The following is an 18,067-nucleotide window of genomic DNA, read 5'->3' as shown; positions in this document are numbered from 1 at the left end:
GGAAGCCCCAGACCTCTCCCTGATGTACAGGGCTGCCTCCAAATTCCTTCATCCACTCCAGTTCCACGGGCAGGAATGGATCTGAGTTTTGTGGAAGTGTCAGCTTATATGATTTGGCTCCCTCTTTTTAAAAACACAAAATATGTCTTTTGAAAATGTTGCCAAACCATATGACCAAATGAATATATGGTTAGGGCTTGGGAGGGGCCCATGCAAGGGGTGGCTCCAAAGGGGAAGCACCCCTAGCTCCACAGTACATCTGCCTTTGCCTCTGCCCATAAGATATCTCTGCTTCTTGCCAAACTGGGTATTGGAGTTCATTTAGACAGAAGAGTTTTCCTTTTCATTCCCAAACACGAGGCCCTCGGAAGTTACCAGTCAACAGCTATTTAACTGATACTTTATTCTGGTTATGTCCTTGCAACCATAACCATCTCTATTCTGGGACTGAAAACATTAGAGACAGTGTAACATGTCATGTGATCAGATTCGGCATGTTCTCTAAAATCTCAACAGTGCTAAATTGCCTCCCCATGTTACGAAAGTTGCCCAAGGAAATGAAATCCCAGGATGGATGCTCGCCATAAAAATAACCCCCTCGTTTCTCTGTCCCCTTCCCTGATAGTCACGGAAAAGCCAAGGATTAATAGACTCCTTTAATTTAACTCAGTTTTGTCTCTGATGAGGGTCTAGTGAAAGCAACTGCCCAATCTGTCGCTTGAATACTGTTTATATTTGTTGCCGGGATACCAAAGGCTCTCTTAAGCCTTTGGCTAAGAAGAGCACCATGCATCTGACCTTGTTCACCTGCACATAAAGCAAATAATGGCTGAAATGATAGGAAAGCTCCTCCAAACATTTGGAGTGGAACACAAGGCATTTTTGTGTCCGAAATTGCAGCGCCTAATATTTGTTGTTCAAATAAATCTCAACCTGCATACGGAAGTGCACATTACACATAATAAGATGAGGCTTTGAGAAGACAGATGTTAATTATTTTGAGGTAAATCAGAGCACCTCTGACCCAAACACCGAGCTGTAATTTGTTGCTCAGCTTCTTGGTCCTGAAATTAATGTAAATCTTTACATTCGTAATTTTACTTGCCAATGGCAAACCACCCACACAGTCTGTAAATGACTGCTCTGAGTCAGAGACTATTCATTTACGATTGTGTTAGATATTTTAAAATGTTCTCTGAAAGGATTAAATCACCTAATCCTGGTCCTTTCACTGGTTCTGCTTTCTGCAAAAATGATGGAGCTGGAGGACGTCTAAACTAGAAGGGACTTTAGAGTTTGTCTCTTCCCCAAATTTCTCCATTCAAGGATAAGAAACTAAGACCCTGATGTTAGAAGTGACTTGTCTCCAGGTCACTCAGCAACCAAAACTAACCCCCCAACCCCCGCAAAAAAAAAAAAAAAAAAAAAAAAAAAAAAAAATCCCAGGTTAGGATTTTAATAAATGGCCACACTTAGAAATCCTTGCTCAGAGTCCGGAAGCTACCCTTTCCCTGCCCTCCTGCCTCCGACAGCTTCTGTTAGTCCTGGTACTCCACAGTATGACTCGGTTCTAAAAGAATCATGCCATTTTGAATCCAGGTGGTCAGAATACGATTCCGATAAAACAAATCAGCAGCCGTTACAGCAATATGCATTAATTTTGGGGGAATGGATAGCCAAGAAATTGCTAATAACGGTGACTTTTGAGGAGGGGGCTAGTGATGAGAAACGCAGGACAGGAAGATGTTTACTTTTCGTTTTACATATTTTCTTTACTATTTGGCTTTTATTACCATGTACAGATGTTAACTATTAAAAACCTCAAAAGCAAATTAGAAATACTACGTTCACAAACTTCAAAGGAGAAATAGAATTTACCCCAGTAACACGGATGCTTGAAAATCTATGATACAGTACAGCAGTACTTTAAAAATTTTTTCTCCCAAAGTATCTGTAATGATAGAGGAGACTGAATTGGAGTCTGGGGGCAGTGCCAGAAATGGCCCTTGTATACCAAAACTCTCTTTGCAGTTTATGTTTTTAAAATGCCTTCAAATTAATAGACTCTCTAGCATCTCTGCATCTCTTTTGATACAAAAAAATGACGGTTTAAATGACTTACCATTCACGAAAACTGCCGCTCTGGGAAGACACCCCTCGTTTCTTTCTCCGGCGGTCCGGAGCGCCCGTAGCGCGCTGCTTCCAGTCACTGAGTGCAGAGGGCCCTTGGAATAGGAAGCACGGCTGTGCACAAGCTGACCTGTGTTCTGGCTCTCTCACCTGGAATCAGGCTTCACGGATCCTGTTATGTATTGAATAGTAACAAAACAACGGCATAAATTAGGGTGTTGCTAAGATTGTGTACCATCAACGTTCGCATGAGCGTAATGGACATAATGAATTCTATAGCACTATCCTGCACAGCTTGGAGAGATTAAAACCACTTTGTCTTTAAATTAAATTTCAAAAATCATTGAACAAGAATAGAAAGAACAACAACAAAAAAAACCCCCACCTCATCTATGTCAGCTACCCAATTGCAGGAGGCACCACTTCTTGCTTTCTGATCATTAATGCCTGGTCCTAGGTTTATTTTAATAGCTGCCAGCTCAGTGAGTCCACATCTATTGTAATAACCATAAAGGGGGCTTGGCTCCTCTTGCATCGTGTATGCAGCCCTTACTGGAGAGCCTCTTATCCCCTTTCAAGAATAAAATCTACAACTGAAAAAGAACTAACCTGAAGTTTATTTTGTATAAATGCTACACAATATAGTATATCTAGTCTGTTGCAGAAAAAGAAAGGTGAGCTTGAATTCATTCTTAAGCAGTGCTGTACTTGGGCAAATCTTCACTCAACAAACCTGGGTGCCGTATTATGTGAAAGTTCACATCGGAGTGCTTGCTAAATGCCAGGCACCATACTTCTGGCTCTACATGCTTTCTTATGCTTAACCCTCACTCACAACACCCCTAAGAAATATATGAGCAGTCCAGGAGAGGTGGCTCACGCCTGTAATCCCAGCACTTTGGGAGGCCAAGGCAGGCAGATCACCTGAGGTCAGGAGTTTGAGACCAGCCTGGCTAACATGACGAAAACCCATCTCTACTAAAAATACAAAAATTAACCAGGTATGGTGGTGCATGCCTGTAATCCCAGCTACTTGGGAGGCTGAGGCAGGAGAATTGCTTGAACCTGGGAGGCGGAGGTTGCAGTGAGCCGAGCTCGCACCACTGCATTCCAGCTGTTAAAGATTTCATAGTCTTTAACAGCACTGCAATCTCAGCACTATGTAACTGTACCAGCTCTAATCCTCTACTCTGAATGGGCGACAGAGTGAGACTCCGTGTCAAAAAAAAAAAAAAAAAAAAAAGGAAGGAAAGAAATATATAAGCGCTATTATATCCCCACTTCACAGACGAGGAAACTGAGGCTCCCGGGGATTAAGTGACTTGCCCAAAGTCACACAGTAATCAGCAGAGCCAGGATTAAAATCCAGGTATGTCTGATTGATTCTAGAGCCCCTGAAATCTGCCTCCTAAGAACTGTCAGTCACCATTTATGTAATGCTTATTATGTTCTATGGTAGATGCTTGGCATAAATTATTTAATCTTTGCAACAACCCTCTGAGGCAGGCATTATTAATAGCCTCATTTTACAGATAAGGAAAACCAAGGTTTAGAAAAATTAAGTAACTTGGCCTAACACAACTGAACATCAGAGTCCAGAACTTCAGCCCAGGCCTCTTTGATACCAGAACAGAATTCTTAATAACTAAGCTATACTACGATTCAGGTGCCTGGCCAGAGGACAAACATAAACTCTGGGATCCTTGGGCATTCATCCATGCCATGCAGACCTCTCTGTGAATAGCTCTTATACATGCCAGTGTGTGGGATATTCCTCAAGAATGAGCTTTACATGTACACATGGAGCACCCGTTCTATCATTTTTAAAGTTGTGGCTTGACAGACATAATGCTGCATTCTTAGTACAAATCTCATGGCAAAATCCACTGGATTTGAGCCCTAATCAAGAGATACAGAAAGTCCAAACACTGTCACATGGATTCCAAATAAGGGTTTATTGAAAATAAACATAAATGCCCTCCATTGACTGGGCTTATTAGCATGAAGCAAAAGGCAGATGCTATTTCCTCTTTGTAAGGTTAGTTTTGAGGTCGTGGCCAATGTCTGGCCCTCTTCATAATCTTTAACAGCACTGCAATCTCAGCACTATGTAACTGTGCCAGCTCTAATCCTCTACTCTGAATGGAATTAAAAATGGCTTGAGGCCAGGCGTGGTGACTCACATCTGTAATCTCAGTACTTTGGGAGGCCGAAATGGGCAGATCATGAGGTTAGGAGTTCGAGACCAGCCTGGCCAACATGGTGAAACCCCGTCTCTACTAAAAATACAAAAATTAGCCCGGCATGGTGAGAGGCGCCTGTAATCCCAGTTACTCAAAAGGCTGAGGCAGAATCGCTTGAAACTGGAAGGGGGAGGTTGCAGTGAGCCAAGATTGTGTCATTGCACTCCAGCCTGGGCGAAAGAGAGAAACTCCATCTCGGCCAGGCACGGTGGCTCACGCCTGTAATCCCAGCACTTTGGGAGGCCAAGGCAGGCAGATCACAACGTCAGATCAAGATCATCCTGGCTAACACGGTGAAACCCCGTCTCTACTAAAAATACAAAAAATATTAGCCGGGCGTGGTGGCGGGCACCCGTAGTCCCAGCTACTCGGGAGGCTGAGGCAGGAGAATGGCGTGAACCTGGGAGGCGGAGGTTGCAGTGAGCCGAGATCGTGCCACTGCACTCCAGCCTGGGCAACAGAGCAAGACTCTGTCTCAAAAAAAAAAAAAAAAAAAAAAAGAGAAACTCCATCTCAAAAGATAGATAATAAATAAATAAATTTTAAAAAATTGCTCTAGCTGGCCAGGCACAGTGGCTCACGCCTATAATCCTAGCACTTTGGGAGGCCGAGGTGGGTGGATCATGAGGTCAAGAGATCTAGACCATCCTGGCCAACATGGTGAAACTGTCTCTACTAAAAATACAAAAATTAGCCAGGCTTGGTGGTACACACCTGTAGTCCCAGCTACTTGGGAGGCTGAAGCAGGAGAATCGCTTGAACCCAGGAGGCGGAGGCTGCAGTGAGCCAAGATTGCACCATTGCACTCCAGCCTGGCAACAGAGCAAGACTCTTGTCTCAAAAAAAAAAAAAAAAAAAAAAAAAAAATGGCTTGAGCCAGGTGAAAATGAAGGCAACTGGATGAAATTGGTATTGATTCTAAAAGTTTAAATGAGGTGATATTCATGCAACAAACGTAACCATTTTAAAGTGGATAATTCAGCTCATGGCTCATGATTAATAACCATAGGACTAGAGAAGGTGGGTTCACAGTATTTCTTGGAGAAAGCTCATTCAGCTATGATCATCCATAGGCAATGGAACAATGTTTTTTGGATGCACTGGGCCTGAATTCCTTTGCTAATGTGTTGGAAATGTTTGTGGGTGGCACAACCAAGTTATTCTGTTAAGCGGACTGCTGACAATTGGTTTTAAAAAGACAGTTCTTCATCTCCGGAGATACTGTAGCATTTATTAAAAATGTAGCATTCACTAAAAAGGTAGTATTTATTCGAATGTAGCACTCAAATATGCATTTTTATATGAAAATATACTGCAGACAAAATTTATTTTAGATATTTTTATTTCTCCAAATTTGTTATTTATCAGGAGTGACTGAAATAAAAAATACAATTGAGTCCCATCATCATCATCATGGAAATGGCTTTAAGAGAAAACTGGTCAGATGAATATTATTGCTTCCCATTTTCAACCAGTAAATAGTTGCCACTGAGAAACTGACAGCCAGGAGTCTGTCAAGAATGCTCAAGATATGTTATATAATACAACATGCCTGTTCACAGGGGGAAAAATCCTAGGAAATAACTTATGTGTACTTCTTGATTTCATCATACAAGACAAGCACAAAAGCACCACCCATGCCTCTGAGAACATTGGACCATGCACCCTTGAAAAAAGCTTTGCCTCCTTCATCACGAGCAATCTTCCGCCAGCAGTCAAGCGTGCCTGTGTACATGATGTCAGCTGCAAAGAATAAAGACATGGAGTTAGTGACTGAAGGCCGATGAAAAATCCTAAGATTCACTAGGCTAAATAAAGCAGAGCCCCACCTCTAAGAACGTCAGCTTTAAATCCAACATTCACACATTAGCATGGGCAACACTGAAATATTAATGCTATGACCACAGGAATACAGACTACCCATTGGTCTTAACCTCTAACACCATTTAAGCACCCTCATTCATAGGCATCTGAAGGGCCAGCTCAAAGGCAGTTGTGGAACAGACACAGATGCTATCAACCCCATCCCTTGACTTGGACAGACAGCCATTTTAAAGGTATGTATCACCAGTTTGTGGCAGCAGATTGCCCCACGACTACAACTTTATCTTCTGCTCAAGTGGAACTTACTTCCTTTGCGCCCTGACTGCATCATCATGCGGCGGCGAACAGTGTCAAATGGATAGGAAGTCAACCCGGCAACAGCAGTGACAGTCTGTGCGATCATCCAGCTGATGACGATGTGAGTGTTCTTGGGATCCGGAAGCATTCCTGGGAATAGGAAAGAGATGCTTTTACCAAAAAGCAGAGTTTTACTGACTTCCTTTCCCCACATCCCCTAAACACGTCATCTGTACACAAGGGTTGCATTGGATGATCTTGGCTTCCTTTAGCAATTAAAAAAACAACTCTTTAGCTCTTGGACTGTTAGGTTGGTACAATGCTCTTTTAAACTGTCTCCTAAGAACACAACGTTAAAGCCCACAGCAAACTTACCCTTTGCAGTGTCATAGATACCGAAGTAGGCGGCTCGGTAGATGATAATACCCTGCACAGACACGTTAAAGCCTTGGTACAGGCCCTTAATCCCATCAGATTTGTAGATCTTAACCAGGCAGTCACCGAGGCCTCGGAATTCCCTTTCAGCTCCAGCTTTACCCACATCAGCTGCTAGACGGGTACGGGCAAAATCAAGAGGGTACACAAAACACAGGGATGTGGCCCCTGCGGCACCACCCGATGCCAGATTCCCTGCAAAGTAGAGCCAAAACTGGGTTCTCTTGTCCACACCACCCAGGAAGATCTGCTTGTATTTATCTTTGAAGGCGAAGTTAAGAGCCTGGGTGGGGAAGTATCTGATGACATTGGCCAGGTTACCGCGCCAGAAGGACAGAACTCCCTGCTCCTTGGGAATACGGACCACGCAGTCTATAATGCCTTTGTATTGCTTATCTGCAGTGATCTGCTTGCTGGCATGCTGCACCTAACAGACAGGAAGGAAGCCAACAGGGACAGTTATAACCATGGGGAAGGGAAAGAGAAGAGCTTATGCCATCTCGATCAATGCCCTTTAAGGTAGGCTCCCCTCTCTCAAATCTAGTCTTCGTATATCATACTGGCTGGACCCTCCCAACCCTCTGAGGCTGTCACAGGGGAAGAGGTGATCTGCACCAGTAGCATTAAGCCTCCACCCCTCTGAGTGGAGAGGGGGCATCCTCCAGCGGACCCGTGACCTTCAGACCTAGGAGAAAGGTCATTACCTCAAACCCAGGTTCAGAGGCATTAGGGCGAGTCCCACATAGGGCGCGGTCACCTTGGGGACCGCAGCCTACGCCTCAAGTCTCCTGAGCTGCTTCCGTCTCGCTCCGCCCCCACTCCGCTCCCAGAGGTGACCCGAGCGCCGCCGCCGCCAGCCCTACACGCTAGCCCAGGAGCGCCCTCTAGAGCCGGCACTGGAGAGCGCGCGGCGCAGGGAGGCAGGCGGAGACGCGGCGGCAGCGGCCGCGGCTGCGCGGGGGCGGACGTAAAAGGCACACGCGCTTCCCGGCGCCGGCTTCCGGCCCGGCGAGGTTTGAGCGCGTCCGCGGGCTGGGAGGCCGCTGGACCCGGGCGCATGGCCTCCCCCGGGCAGTTATCTCCTTGCCGCGACCTTGAGGTCTTCGGTAAGAACTGGCGTTCCTCTTTCTAACGCCGGCTTTCGGCCTTCGCCCTTGACGCCCAGGCCCGGGGAGGCCGTCACTCAGAAACTGCTCCATCCGAGTCCGCCGCCTCGGAGATGCCGAGAGCCTGGTCCTGCCCTCTGCCCCCGGCCCCTTCCTAGACTCACTACTTCAGGTCACTAAAGGCGCCTCCCACCAGTTTGACTTCTGTTCTGCCTCTGCGCCCCGCTCTGGCCTCTCCTAAGCCGCTTCCCTGGCCATGTCTTTAGAGTTCGCTCCCCGCCACCCCTCGGGCGCCCGCCTTCTGTGCGACCCTTCCCCCCACTTCCTGGTTGGGCTCCTGGATCCCAGGACGTACCTGCAGCAGCAGCTTGACCCGCTCGATGGGCGCTACCGCCGTCTTGGAGATGGCTGCGGCCACTCCACCTGCCAGGAAGTCCTTGGCGAAGGACACAGCGGCATCTGTCATGTTGAAAGAGGAGGCAGACTGCTGCAGGACGGGACTGGGCCGGGAACCGGCTTTGACTCCGGCGCTGCGGGGCGGAGCGAAGCAAATGGCCGATTTATATAGGGGGAGCCGGAGCTGGAGCGGCAGGCGTCGGAGGCGGGGCCGGGGCGGGGTCTGGGCCCCGGCGCGCTGGGCGGCAGAGCCGCTGAGTGGCCCAGCTCGCAGGAGGAGGAGTCGTGGAGGGCGGGCCGGGACTGCTCTCCGCGCCGCCCGTGCTCGCCCTCGGCACCTGACCCGGCGAGAGGAAGGGGCGGGTCCAGAGAACACCCGGGACTTGAACGCTGGACCCTGAGAGAGGCCTCGGAGAGGGGAGGAAGGGTGAGGTCACGATGTGCCTGGACAAAAACCCTTGGAGCAGGACCAGGACTAGGGTGAGACGCATTTGCTACAGGGATGCCAAAAGAACCCTTCAGTCATCGAGATAAACAGTAGTCAATGCGATACTTTAAAAAAGTCGTATGGGCAAACTACATCCTACTGGCCGGCCCCCTTGTTTTGTAAATAAAGTTTAATTGGAGTGTCAAGGCTGGGTTTAGGGTGAGGCAAGCGAGACAAGGTCATGCAAGTGCAGGTTGGGATCCTGTCTGTATTTCAAATGTTGATCATTTGTTCATCATGGATTTTTGCATTGCTTCTGATTTTTTTAAAATAGTACATGAAAAATCATTTGTCTTAATTACTGAGTTGTTTTTCACCAAGGTGAATGCCTCACTCTTCCCACTCTAGACCGTGTGCTGTCCTGGAGCCAGTGAAACCAGACGAAATTAAGGGAACAGCAGACGAAGGAACTGCCACCGTGCCCCAGACCCTGGTTTGCAAATACAGTTCGACAAAGATCTTGCCAGGAATTGGCCTGGGAGAGTCCAAAGGACTGGGCTGGGGGTGGGGAAATGATTTTAGCCAGAAGACAAATATAGAGGTTGTACCCAGAAGGTTAAGAGGCTTAGGAAGGTTAAGAACTACGTTAACATTTGGCTCCCAGGACCCCAGGTAAAGTGCCCTTGGATTGAATAGATTTCTGAACTCCAGAAACATTTAGAGGAATCAATAGAATTAGATTGGCAGCCATTGTGCCAATGGACAAGTGCTTACTGAGCCCCTTAATCCCTTCACTGGGTAAGCATTTGCCACACATGTCCTCAAAAACCTACTTGTTAGCTTAAGTGGACTCCCTCAAGTTCAGAACAGGAGCAAATAGTGTAATCACAAGTTCCGTGTCTGAATAATCATAACAATGTTTATAAAAATAAGGACGACTGTTGAAAACTGCAACTGCAGCTGAACCTTATGTGCCCAGACTTCAGAATTCCCATAGGCAAAATGCCAGCAGGCCTTTGCACACTGAACACATAGTGTTCATATCCTTCACTTTCCTTTCCTGCCCTCTCCTATCTTCTCCAGATCTGCCTGTGAAAGGACCCAATTCTAGGACCCCCCAGGATGGTTAGGCCCTTCCTCTGAAAGTACACTTTGCAATTTGTTAGTCTCCTCAAGAACCCCAGCGATCGAAACTGATGCACACAAATTGCATGTGTTCAAAGGAGCAATTTTGAATCTAGCTTTGTTGATCCTGGGAGAAATCTTTGACCTGTGTTAGTGAAAGGCTATGGTGTTTCTCAGCTGATTATAATAGCGAGGTAGCTGAATGCAAAAAAACAGTTTCAGAGAATGGTAGAGTATATCCTCCAAAGGTGATACTCGCTTCTCTATTCTGGTGAGAGAAACAAGAGCTAAAGCAAAATTCTACAGAGGGCTTTATTTGGAGAGAGGTGGATTTTATTTATAATGCATTTAAAATTCAAAATCTTTCTAGTTTGAACTCTTGACATTCTGATTAATGCATTTTTATTCAACTGTTAATTATTCCTCGATACACCTCGCCATCACTTGTGTATCCCTTTTCTACATGTGACCTTTCCCTGGCCACATCTGCTACTCTCTTTGAGCATGATGCCTCTACTGTATTCTATTCCAGAGCTCATTGTTTTGTCAGTTTTTTTTCTCTCCACAAAAAAAGATGATCAAATAATTACATAGAATTTTTCCCTTCTCAGTCTTTGGGTAACTAAGTGTGGTTTTATTGACGATGAAATACAAGATGGGTCATTTAAAAGCAACTTCTTGTCATCACTTGGTATTTTGCTAAATCCACGGTGAGCTGGAGCTCCCGTAGTCACCTATCACCGCGTGTATTTTAAGGAGTCAGATATTCTCGAAACTGTTAAGATCATGAAAGACAAAGAGACTAAGGAACTGTCACAGATTAAAGGAGACTAAAGATACTTGACAACTGAATGTAATATATGACACTCAACCGGCTCCTGTACCAGAAAAAGGACATTGGTTATATTGGTGAGGTTTGAATATCTGTAGATTACCAATACTATTCTTGGTTATGGTGGTTATGTAAGATTTAGAGAAGTTGAATAAAGGATATAAGGACATTTTTGTACTATTTTTGCAACATTTAAAAAAGTCTGAAAGTTTAAAAACTTTTTAAAAAAGAAGGAAAAAGAAACAAGGAGCAAGCATCCAGGAAAATAGAAAATAGAGTCTCATTCTGTCACCCAGGCTGGAGTGCAGCGGCACGATCATAGCTCACTGCAGCCTCAAACTCCTAGGCTCAAGTGATCCTCCCACCTTAGCCTTCCAAATTGCTGGGATTACAGGTATGAGCCACTGCACCCAGCCGAGAAGAATATTAATGATGATGATGATGATGATGATGATGATGTTGATAATGATATATGGCTGGTCAGTTAATCAAAACTAATTCCTCCATTGAGACATAGTGCTGTGTTAGTAATTATTGTGTTTCTGGAAGCTATGTAAAATATAAGTCTAATTAAGAGGAACTAAAGCTAAGGCAATGCCTAGTAATTCTCAAGGAAAAACAAGGAAGAGAGTCAGAAATGACACTTTTAAGGCCTCAGATATCTATGTACCAACACCCAGAATATGGGTAATAAAGGGAATGTAATTTTTTTTTTTTTGAGACAGAGTTTTGCTCTTGTCGCCCAGGCTGGAGTGCAATGGCGCGATCTCCGCTCACTGCAACCTCCACCTCCTAGGTTCAAGCGGTTCTTCAGCCTCAGCCTCCTGAGTAGCTGGGATTACAGGCACGCCACCACCACGCCTGGCTAATTTTTGTATTTTTAGTAGAGACAGGTTATTACCATGTTGGCCAGGCTGCTCTCAAACTCCTGACCTCAGGTGATCTGCCTGCTTTGGCCTCCCAAAGTGCTGGGATTACAGGCATGAGCCGCAGCGACTGGCCGGGAATGTAAAATTTTAATACACTCAGGAAAATGCAATTTTATAGGTATTGTTTAGACTTGGGAGGGTGGAACTTCTGGCTGGCATCTGGAAAACTTGATTCAGAGATACCATACAGAAGAAGAGAGCAGTAATATGTCAAGAAGGTATAACTAGTAATTCATTGGCTGGAGGGTGAAAAGCATTCAGTGAGAATGAAACGGAGAAATGAAAGTGATTATAGTTGTAGAAGTATACAAGAGACTTCTCAGATTAAAAGTATGAATGGGGCCGGGCGCGGTGGCTCACGCCTATAATCCCAGCACTTTGGGAGGCCGAGGCAGGTGGATCACCTGCGGTCAGGAGTTTGAGATCAGCCTGGCCAACATGGTAAAACCCCGTCTCTACTAAAAATACAAAAATCAGCCAGGTGCGGTGACTCAGGCCTGTAATCCTAGCTACTCAGGAGGCTGAGGCAGGAGAATCGCTTGAACCCGGGAGGCAGAGGTTGCAGTGAACCCACATCGTGCCGCTGCACTCCAGCCTGGGTGACAGAGCGAGACTCCATCTCAAAATAAAAATAAAAATAAAAAATAAATAAAATAAATAAAAGTATGAATGGCATTTCATAAAACTGTCACATAGACGAACAGGAAAGGGTGATCAGAGACATAGAACATCTGAATATCTGCTGGAAGTTATTCTGATAGCAACATATCTGATACATTCTTTTTTCTTATTTTTAAGACCATCTTAAATTTAAGAAAACATCTGATAGATTCTTGGCTCTCTTGCTGATACAGTGTAATTACAGTTCTCAAAAGAATAAAGAAGCAATGAGGTAAATTGCTAAGCTGGGCTTAATCCTGATAATAAATAAGGAAGATTTGGTTAGCAAAGTGAAAGTGACAAGAATCTTGGGGAAAGTGATCCTGTCATCTGGATATCTGTTAAGCAAAAAAACTAAAAAAAAAAAAAAAAAATTGCTGGGCATGGTCACATAGGTTAATTAACGTGTGTGTGTGTGTGTGTGTGTGTGTGTGTGTGTGTGTGTGTGTGCGGTGTATGTATGTGTATGTGTAAGGTAGACTTCAAAAGGATCAGAGAAAAGATAAGTATGATCTGGCCTAACACCAAAAGAGAAAGATAGCTTAAAAGGGAGAGGGATCCAGTTGAAAATTCAGAACTGTAGAATTTGGAAAAGTTCCAATGATAAATTAAAAAGGGAGAGATTTCTAATAAACTACAGTGTCCTTATAGATTATTCTCTGATGAGCTCAGATCTTAAAAGTGCATGTATAGATGACAGAAGGAGGACTATGCTTCCAAGGACAAAGCCCAAAGAATATCACAAACCTCTAGGAATTGAGTCATAAGGGCTAAAGTCCAGAATAAACCCAGGCTTATAAAATGGGAAGCATTGCAATAAAGGGTTTTAATGCCCTATTTAGTGCAAGACATTTAAGGATGAGGAGATAGAGCTTAATGGTAGCATGTGTGAAAAAGAGAACTAGGTCCTAGTTCACTGTGGGTTGACAATGCCAAAAAATACTAACGAGTCTTGAGTTGCACTAAGAGAATGGTAGTGACCAGATCAGAGGGACTTTCAGTTCCACTTGGGTTTCTGTTGGCCAGCCCATAGAGTTTTACATTTAATTCTGGATGCTACATTTAAGAGGACATTAACAAACTGGAACATATTCAAACAAGGCAATCAGGAAAGTGAAGTGTCTATAAATCATGTATTATGAGAAATGGCTGAATGAATGAGAGATATTTAACTGGGAAAGAGCTTTGGGTGAAAGAAGGACATCATAACTGTCTTCATAAATTAAACATTCTATATGGAATTAAACCCGCTGGTAGAAGTTTCATGAAGGTAGACTTCAGCTCAAAAAGACATTAGTTTGTAAAATATGCGATACTTAAAGGTAGAATGGGTTGCCATACGATGGGGTGAACTTTTTGTTACTGGGAAGGCTAAAAGTTGAGGCAGAATAGCCACTTGTTAGGGATGCTATGGGGGAGATCGCTGGGTTGGTCTGGAAGAGAGTTCTACACCCTTTCCAATTCTAAGATTCTGTGGCTCTATCCTTTTGTATCTATAAGAGTGAGTGGATCTGAGCGTCTGGGTCTGGGAATCTGGAGCAAATAGGAAGAGAAAGGTAATTTAGCCCAGTGGTTAAGAGGGTGGGCCCTGCAACCAGGTTGCTTAAGTTTAAATTCTGGCTCTGCCATTCGCTAGCTGTCAGGTCTTGGGTAAATTGCTTTACCTCTCCAAACTGCAATTTCTTCAGGTGTAAAATGAGAATGATAGTAGTGCCTATACCTCAGAGGACTGTAGGCACATGCAAATGAGATAATATGTGCATAGAACAGCATTTAATATGTGTTAGATTTTATTAATTTTAAGAAAAATACAGCTGGGCATAGTGGCTCACACCTATAATCCCAGCACTTTGGGAGGCTAAAGCAGGAGGATATCGTGAGCCCAGAGTTTAAGACCAGCCAGGGCAACAGGGTGAAACCCCATCTCTACGAAAAAATTAAACAATTAGCTGGGCATGGTGGTGCATGCCTGTAGTCACAGCTACTCAGGAGTCTGAGGCAGGAGGGTCACCTGAGCCAGGGAAGTGGAGGTTGCATTGAGCCGTGATTGCACCGCTGCACTACAGCATGGGTGACAGAGTGAGACTCTGTCTCAAACAAAACAAAACAAAACAAAACAACAGTTGGTGGATTCCAGCCCATGGGTAACTGCTTAAAACAACAGTCTTATTGAGGTGTAATTGTCAGACAATAAGACTGTACATATTTATAGTGCACAATTTGCTAAGTTTTTTCACATGTATACACATGTGAAGCCATCACAATTAAGATCATGAACATATCCATTACCACACAAAATTTTCTTGTGCCCCTTTGTAATCTCTCCATCCCCAAGCAAACTTTGATCTGCTTTCTGTCACTATAGATTAGTTTCCTAGAATTTTGCATTTCCTAGAATTTTGTATAAATGAGATCATATATTATGCACTCTTCTTTCTGGGGTCTAGCTTCTCTCACTTGGCATGTTACTCTTTGAGATTCATTCATGTTGTGCGTATCAATAGTTATTTACTTTCTGTTGCTAAGTAGTATTCCATTGTACAGATATGCCACTTTTTTTTTTTTTTTTTTTTTTTTTGAGATGGAGTTTCGCTCTTGTTGCCCAGGCTGGAGTGCAACGGCACAATCTTGGCTCACTGTGAACTCTGCCTCCTGGGTTCAAGCGATTCTCCTACCTCAGCTGCCCAAGTAGCTGGGATTACAGGCATGCACCACCATGCCTGGCTAATTTTTGTATTTTTAGTAGAGACAGGGTTTCACCATGTTGGTCAGGCTGGTCTCAAACTCCTGGACCTCAGGTGATCCACCCGCCTTGGCCTCCCAAAGTGCTGGGATTACAGGCATGAGCCACCATGCCTGGCCCACATTTTGTTTATTCATCATTTGATGGACATTGGCTCATTTCCACTTTTTGCCTATTATGAATGACACTGCTATAAACTTTCCTATACAAGTTTCTGTGTGGACGTATGTTTTTATTTCTGGGGTTGTCACCTAGGAGTGGAATTACTGGGTCACATGTTAACTCTATGTTGAACCATTTGAGGACCTGCCCAAGTTTTTTCCCAGAGTGATTATACCATTTTACATTCTCAACAGCGGGATACAAGAGTTCCAGTTCCTCCACATCAGGCACTGCAACCTTGACCTCCTGGGCTCAAGTGACCCTCCCACCTCAGCCTCTCGATTAGCTGGGACCACAGGTGCCTGCCACCACCCCTGGCTAATTTTCAAATTTTTTTGTAGAGACAGGGTCTCCCTATGTTGCCCAATGGGGGTGGTTAGTTACCATTTAAATGCAATTGTATATAAATTTTTTTTGAGATAATGTCTTGCTCTGTTGCCCAACCTGGAGTACAGTGGTGTGATCTTGGCTCACTGCAACCTCCACCTCCCGAGTTCAAGCGATTCTCCTGCCTCAGCCTCCCAGGTAGCTGGGATTACAGGCGCACACCACCATGCCTGGCTAATTTTTGTATTTTTAGTAGAGATGGGGTTTCACCATCTTGGCTGGGCTGGTCTTGAACTCCTGACCTCAAGTGATCCACCAGCCTCGGCCTTCCAAAGTGCTGGGATTACAGGCATGAGCCACTGCATATGGCCCAATTGCATATAAATAATTTAACTCAGAAAAATTTAACTTAGAAATATTTGACATATTTTAATAAATTTTATAAGCTGTGACTAGCTTCTAAACCTGTGCAGGGTAAAATGTACATTATTCAAGTGATGGTTATATGAAGACGAGACCTCCCTACTAAGCAATGTAGTCATATAACAAAATTGTACTTATACCCCTAAATTTACACAAAACACCCCCTGCACATATACATTTTGCTTTATGGATCTCCAACTTTAGTCTGAGTAAGACTAAATAACTTTATGGGAAAAATTACATATCGCATCTATATAATTAAATGTAATTTGATATATATAAAATCAGGCAGCTTGGTATAACAATCAGGATCCCCAGGTGAGCTTATTGAAAATGGAGCAGAGATTCATCTTTGATAAAGATGTATAACTTCTAATTCCAAAGTAAACATAATGAGTACATGAAATTTTATTTCAAGTTTCCTTTTAGAGATGTGAGCAAAAATATTTATTTCAGGATCTAATATGTGGTATTTATCTTCTGATGACTACTATAGCTATATGTGCTTTGCTGTATGTCAAACACACCCCCCTCGTTTCCATCATCCTATTGTAATATTTTATTTATTTATTTATATTTATTTTTGAGATAAGGTTTCACTCTGTCGCCCAGGCTGGAGTGCAGTGGCGTGATCATGGCTCACTGTCACTACATCCTTGACCTCCTGGGCTCAAGTGACCCTCCCACCTCAGCCTCTCGATTAGCTGGGACCACAGGCACCTGCCACCACCTCTGGCTAATTCTTAAATTTTTTTGTAGAGACAGGATCTCCCTATGTTGCCCAAGCTTGTCTTGAACTCTTTGGACTCAAGCAGTCCTCCCACCTTGGCCTCCCAAAGTGCTGAGATTACAGGCATGAGCCACTGTGCCTGGCCCCATTGGAATATTTTAGACAGTTCCTAAGTAACAGCTGTCAAATGGACCTGAATATCATATCAGTTAGTTTGGATATTACTTTTATTTTTGGCTAGCAATGACAACAAAAGGGAGAGATACGAATGACTGAAGAATTTATTTTTGCTTTCTGCTAGTACACGACTTTTCCCGACTTGCCCCAACTTGCCCCGACTTTCCCCGTGTCTATCCCTTCTCCAGTCTCCTATTGTTGTTATACTTGTTTTTTTTCCTCCTCATTGTCTGTGATTAGATTAGAGGCACCTGCATCACAATAGAATGTACTAGGGCTTCAAGTCAGCATGCCTGGTTCAAGTCCCATCTTTTTTTTTTTTTTTTTGAGACAGAGTCTTGCTCTGTTGCCCAGGCTGGAGTGCAGTGGTGTGATCTCAACTCACGGCAACCTCCGCCTCCCGGGCTGAAGCAATTCTCCTGCCTCACCCTCCCAAGTATCTGGGATTACATGTGCCCGCCACCACACCCAGGTAATTTTTGTATTTTTGTAGAGATGGGGTTTCACTATGTTGGCCAGGCTGGTCTCAAACTCCTGACCTCAAGAGATTCACCCACCTCGGCCTCCCAAAGTGCGGGGATTATAGGCATGAGTCACCATGCCCGGCCTCACGTCCCTTGAGGCCTTTCTTTGGCCACCATCCTGAGTGTCAGTTTTTGTTGCTTCCAACTCCCCCAGAAGTTTCTTCCCATCCACTCCTTTGCTGCTCTTACTCAGTCCCTTGCCATCTATCTGCTGATGACACCCAAATTCCTATCTCCAGTCATCACTCTTCCCCACACTCTAGACTTGTCCCTATTATCCTGAAATAATTATCAATAAAGTTCTGATATACTAGTTTCCTATGGCTGCTATAACAAATTACCACAAATGCATTGGCTTAAACAACACAAATTTATTAGCTTGTAGTTCTGTAGTCACAAGTCTGACGTGGGTCTCACTGGGCCAAAATCGAAGTGTCGGCAGGCCTGCATGCCTCTCTGGAGGCTCCAGAGGTGAATTGGTTAGCTTGCTTATTCAGGTTCTTGGCTGAGTTCAGTTCATTGTGACTGTAGGGCTGAAGTCCTTTGTTTCCTTGCTGGCTGTCAGCTGAGGGTCATG

At 44.3% G+C, this 18,067-nt stretch overlaps 1 protein-coding gene and 1 long non-coding RNA gene across 4 annotated transcripts, besides 2 other annotated features; one reads left to right on the top strand and one right to left on the bottom strand.

Moving 5' to 3' along the window:
* Positions 5,621-8,573, bottom strand: SLC25A5 (solute carrier family 25 member 5). Its single transcript, NM_001152.5, has 4 exons — positions 8,391-8,573; positions 6,870-7,356; positions 6,504-6,644; positions 5,621-6,116 (listed from the first exon to the last, which is right to left on the bottom strand). Exons 1-4 carry the CDS (start codon positions 8,499-8,501, stop codon positions 5,959-5,961), a joined length of 897 nt encoding a protein of 298 aa, NP_001143.2. The 5' UTR covers positions 8,502-8,573; the 3' UTR covers positions 5,621-5,958.
* Positions 7,784-8,023: a silencer, noted in NCBI's record as "silent region_20959". NCBI's record gives its function as "represses an Ori minimal core promoter by ATAC-STARR-seq in GM12878 lymphoblastoid cells {active_cell/tissue: GM12878}" and the evidence as "EXISTENCE:reporter gene assay evidence [ECO:0000049][PMID:35858748]".
* Positions 7,897-10,984, top strand: SLC25A5-AS1 (SLC25A5 antisense RNA 1). Of its 3 annotated transcripts, none has more exons than NR_134914.1 (2): positions 7,919-8,207; positions 9,267-10,593. It is a non-coding gene; the product is annotated as an SLC25A5 antisense RNA 1 (long non-coding RNA). The 3 variants fall into 3 exon arrangements; NR_134915.1 differs by lacking the exon at positions 7,919-8,207 and adding an exon at positions 8,755-8,911 and having other exon boundaries at positions 9,267-10,984; NR_028443.1 differs by having other exon boundaries at positions 7,897-10,984.
* Positions 8,514-8,893: a silencer, noted in NCBI's record as "silent region_20958". NCBI's record gives its function as "represses an Ori minimal core promoter by ATAC-STARR-seq in GM12878 lymphoblastoid cells {active_cell/tissue: GM12878}" and the evidence as "EXISTENCE:reporter gene assay evidence [ECO:0000049][PMID:35858748]".

The sequence above is a fragment of the Homo sapiens genome, chromosome X, assembly GCF_000001405.40.
Source record: "Homo sapiens chromosome X, GRCh38.p14 Primary Assembly".
In the NCBI taxonomy this organism is placed as follows: domain Eukaryota; kingdom Metazoa; phylum Chordata; class Mammalia; order Primates; family Hominidae; genus Homo; species Homo sapiens.
Note: the sequence above shows the minus strand (reverse complement) of the source record. Positions and strands in the feature narration are given on the sequence as shown.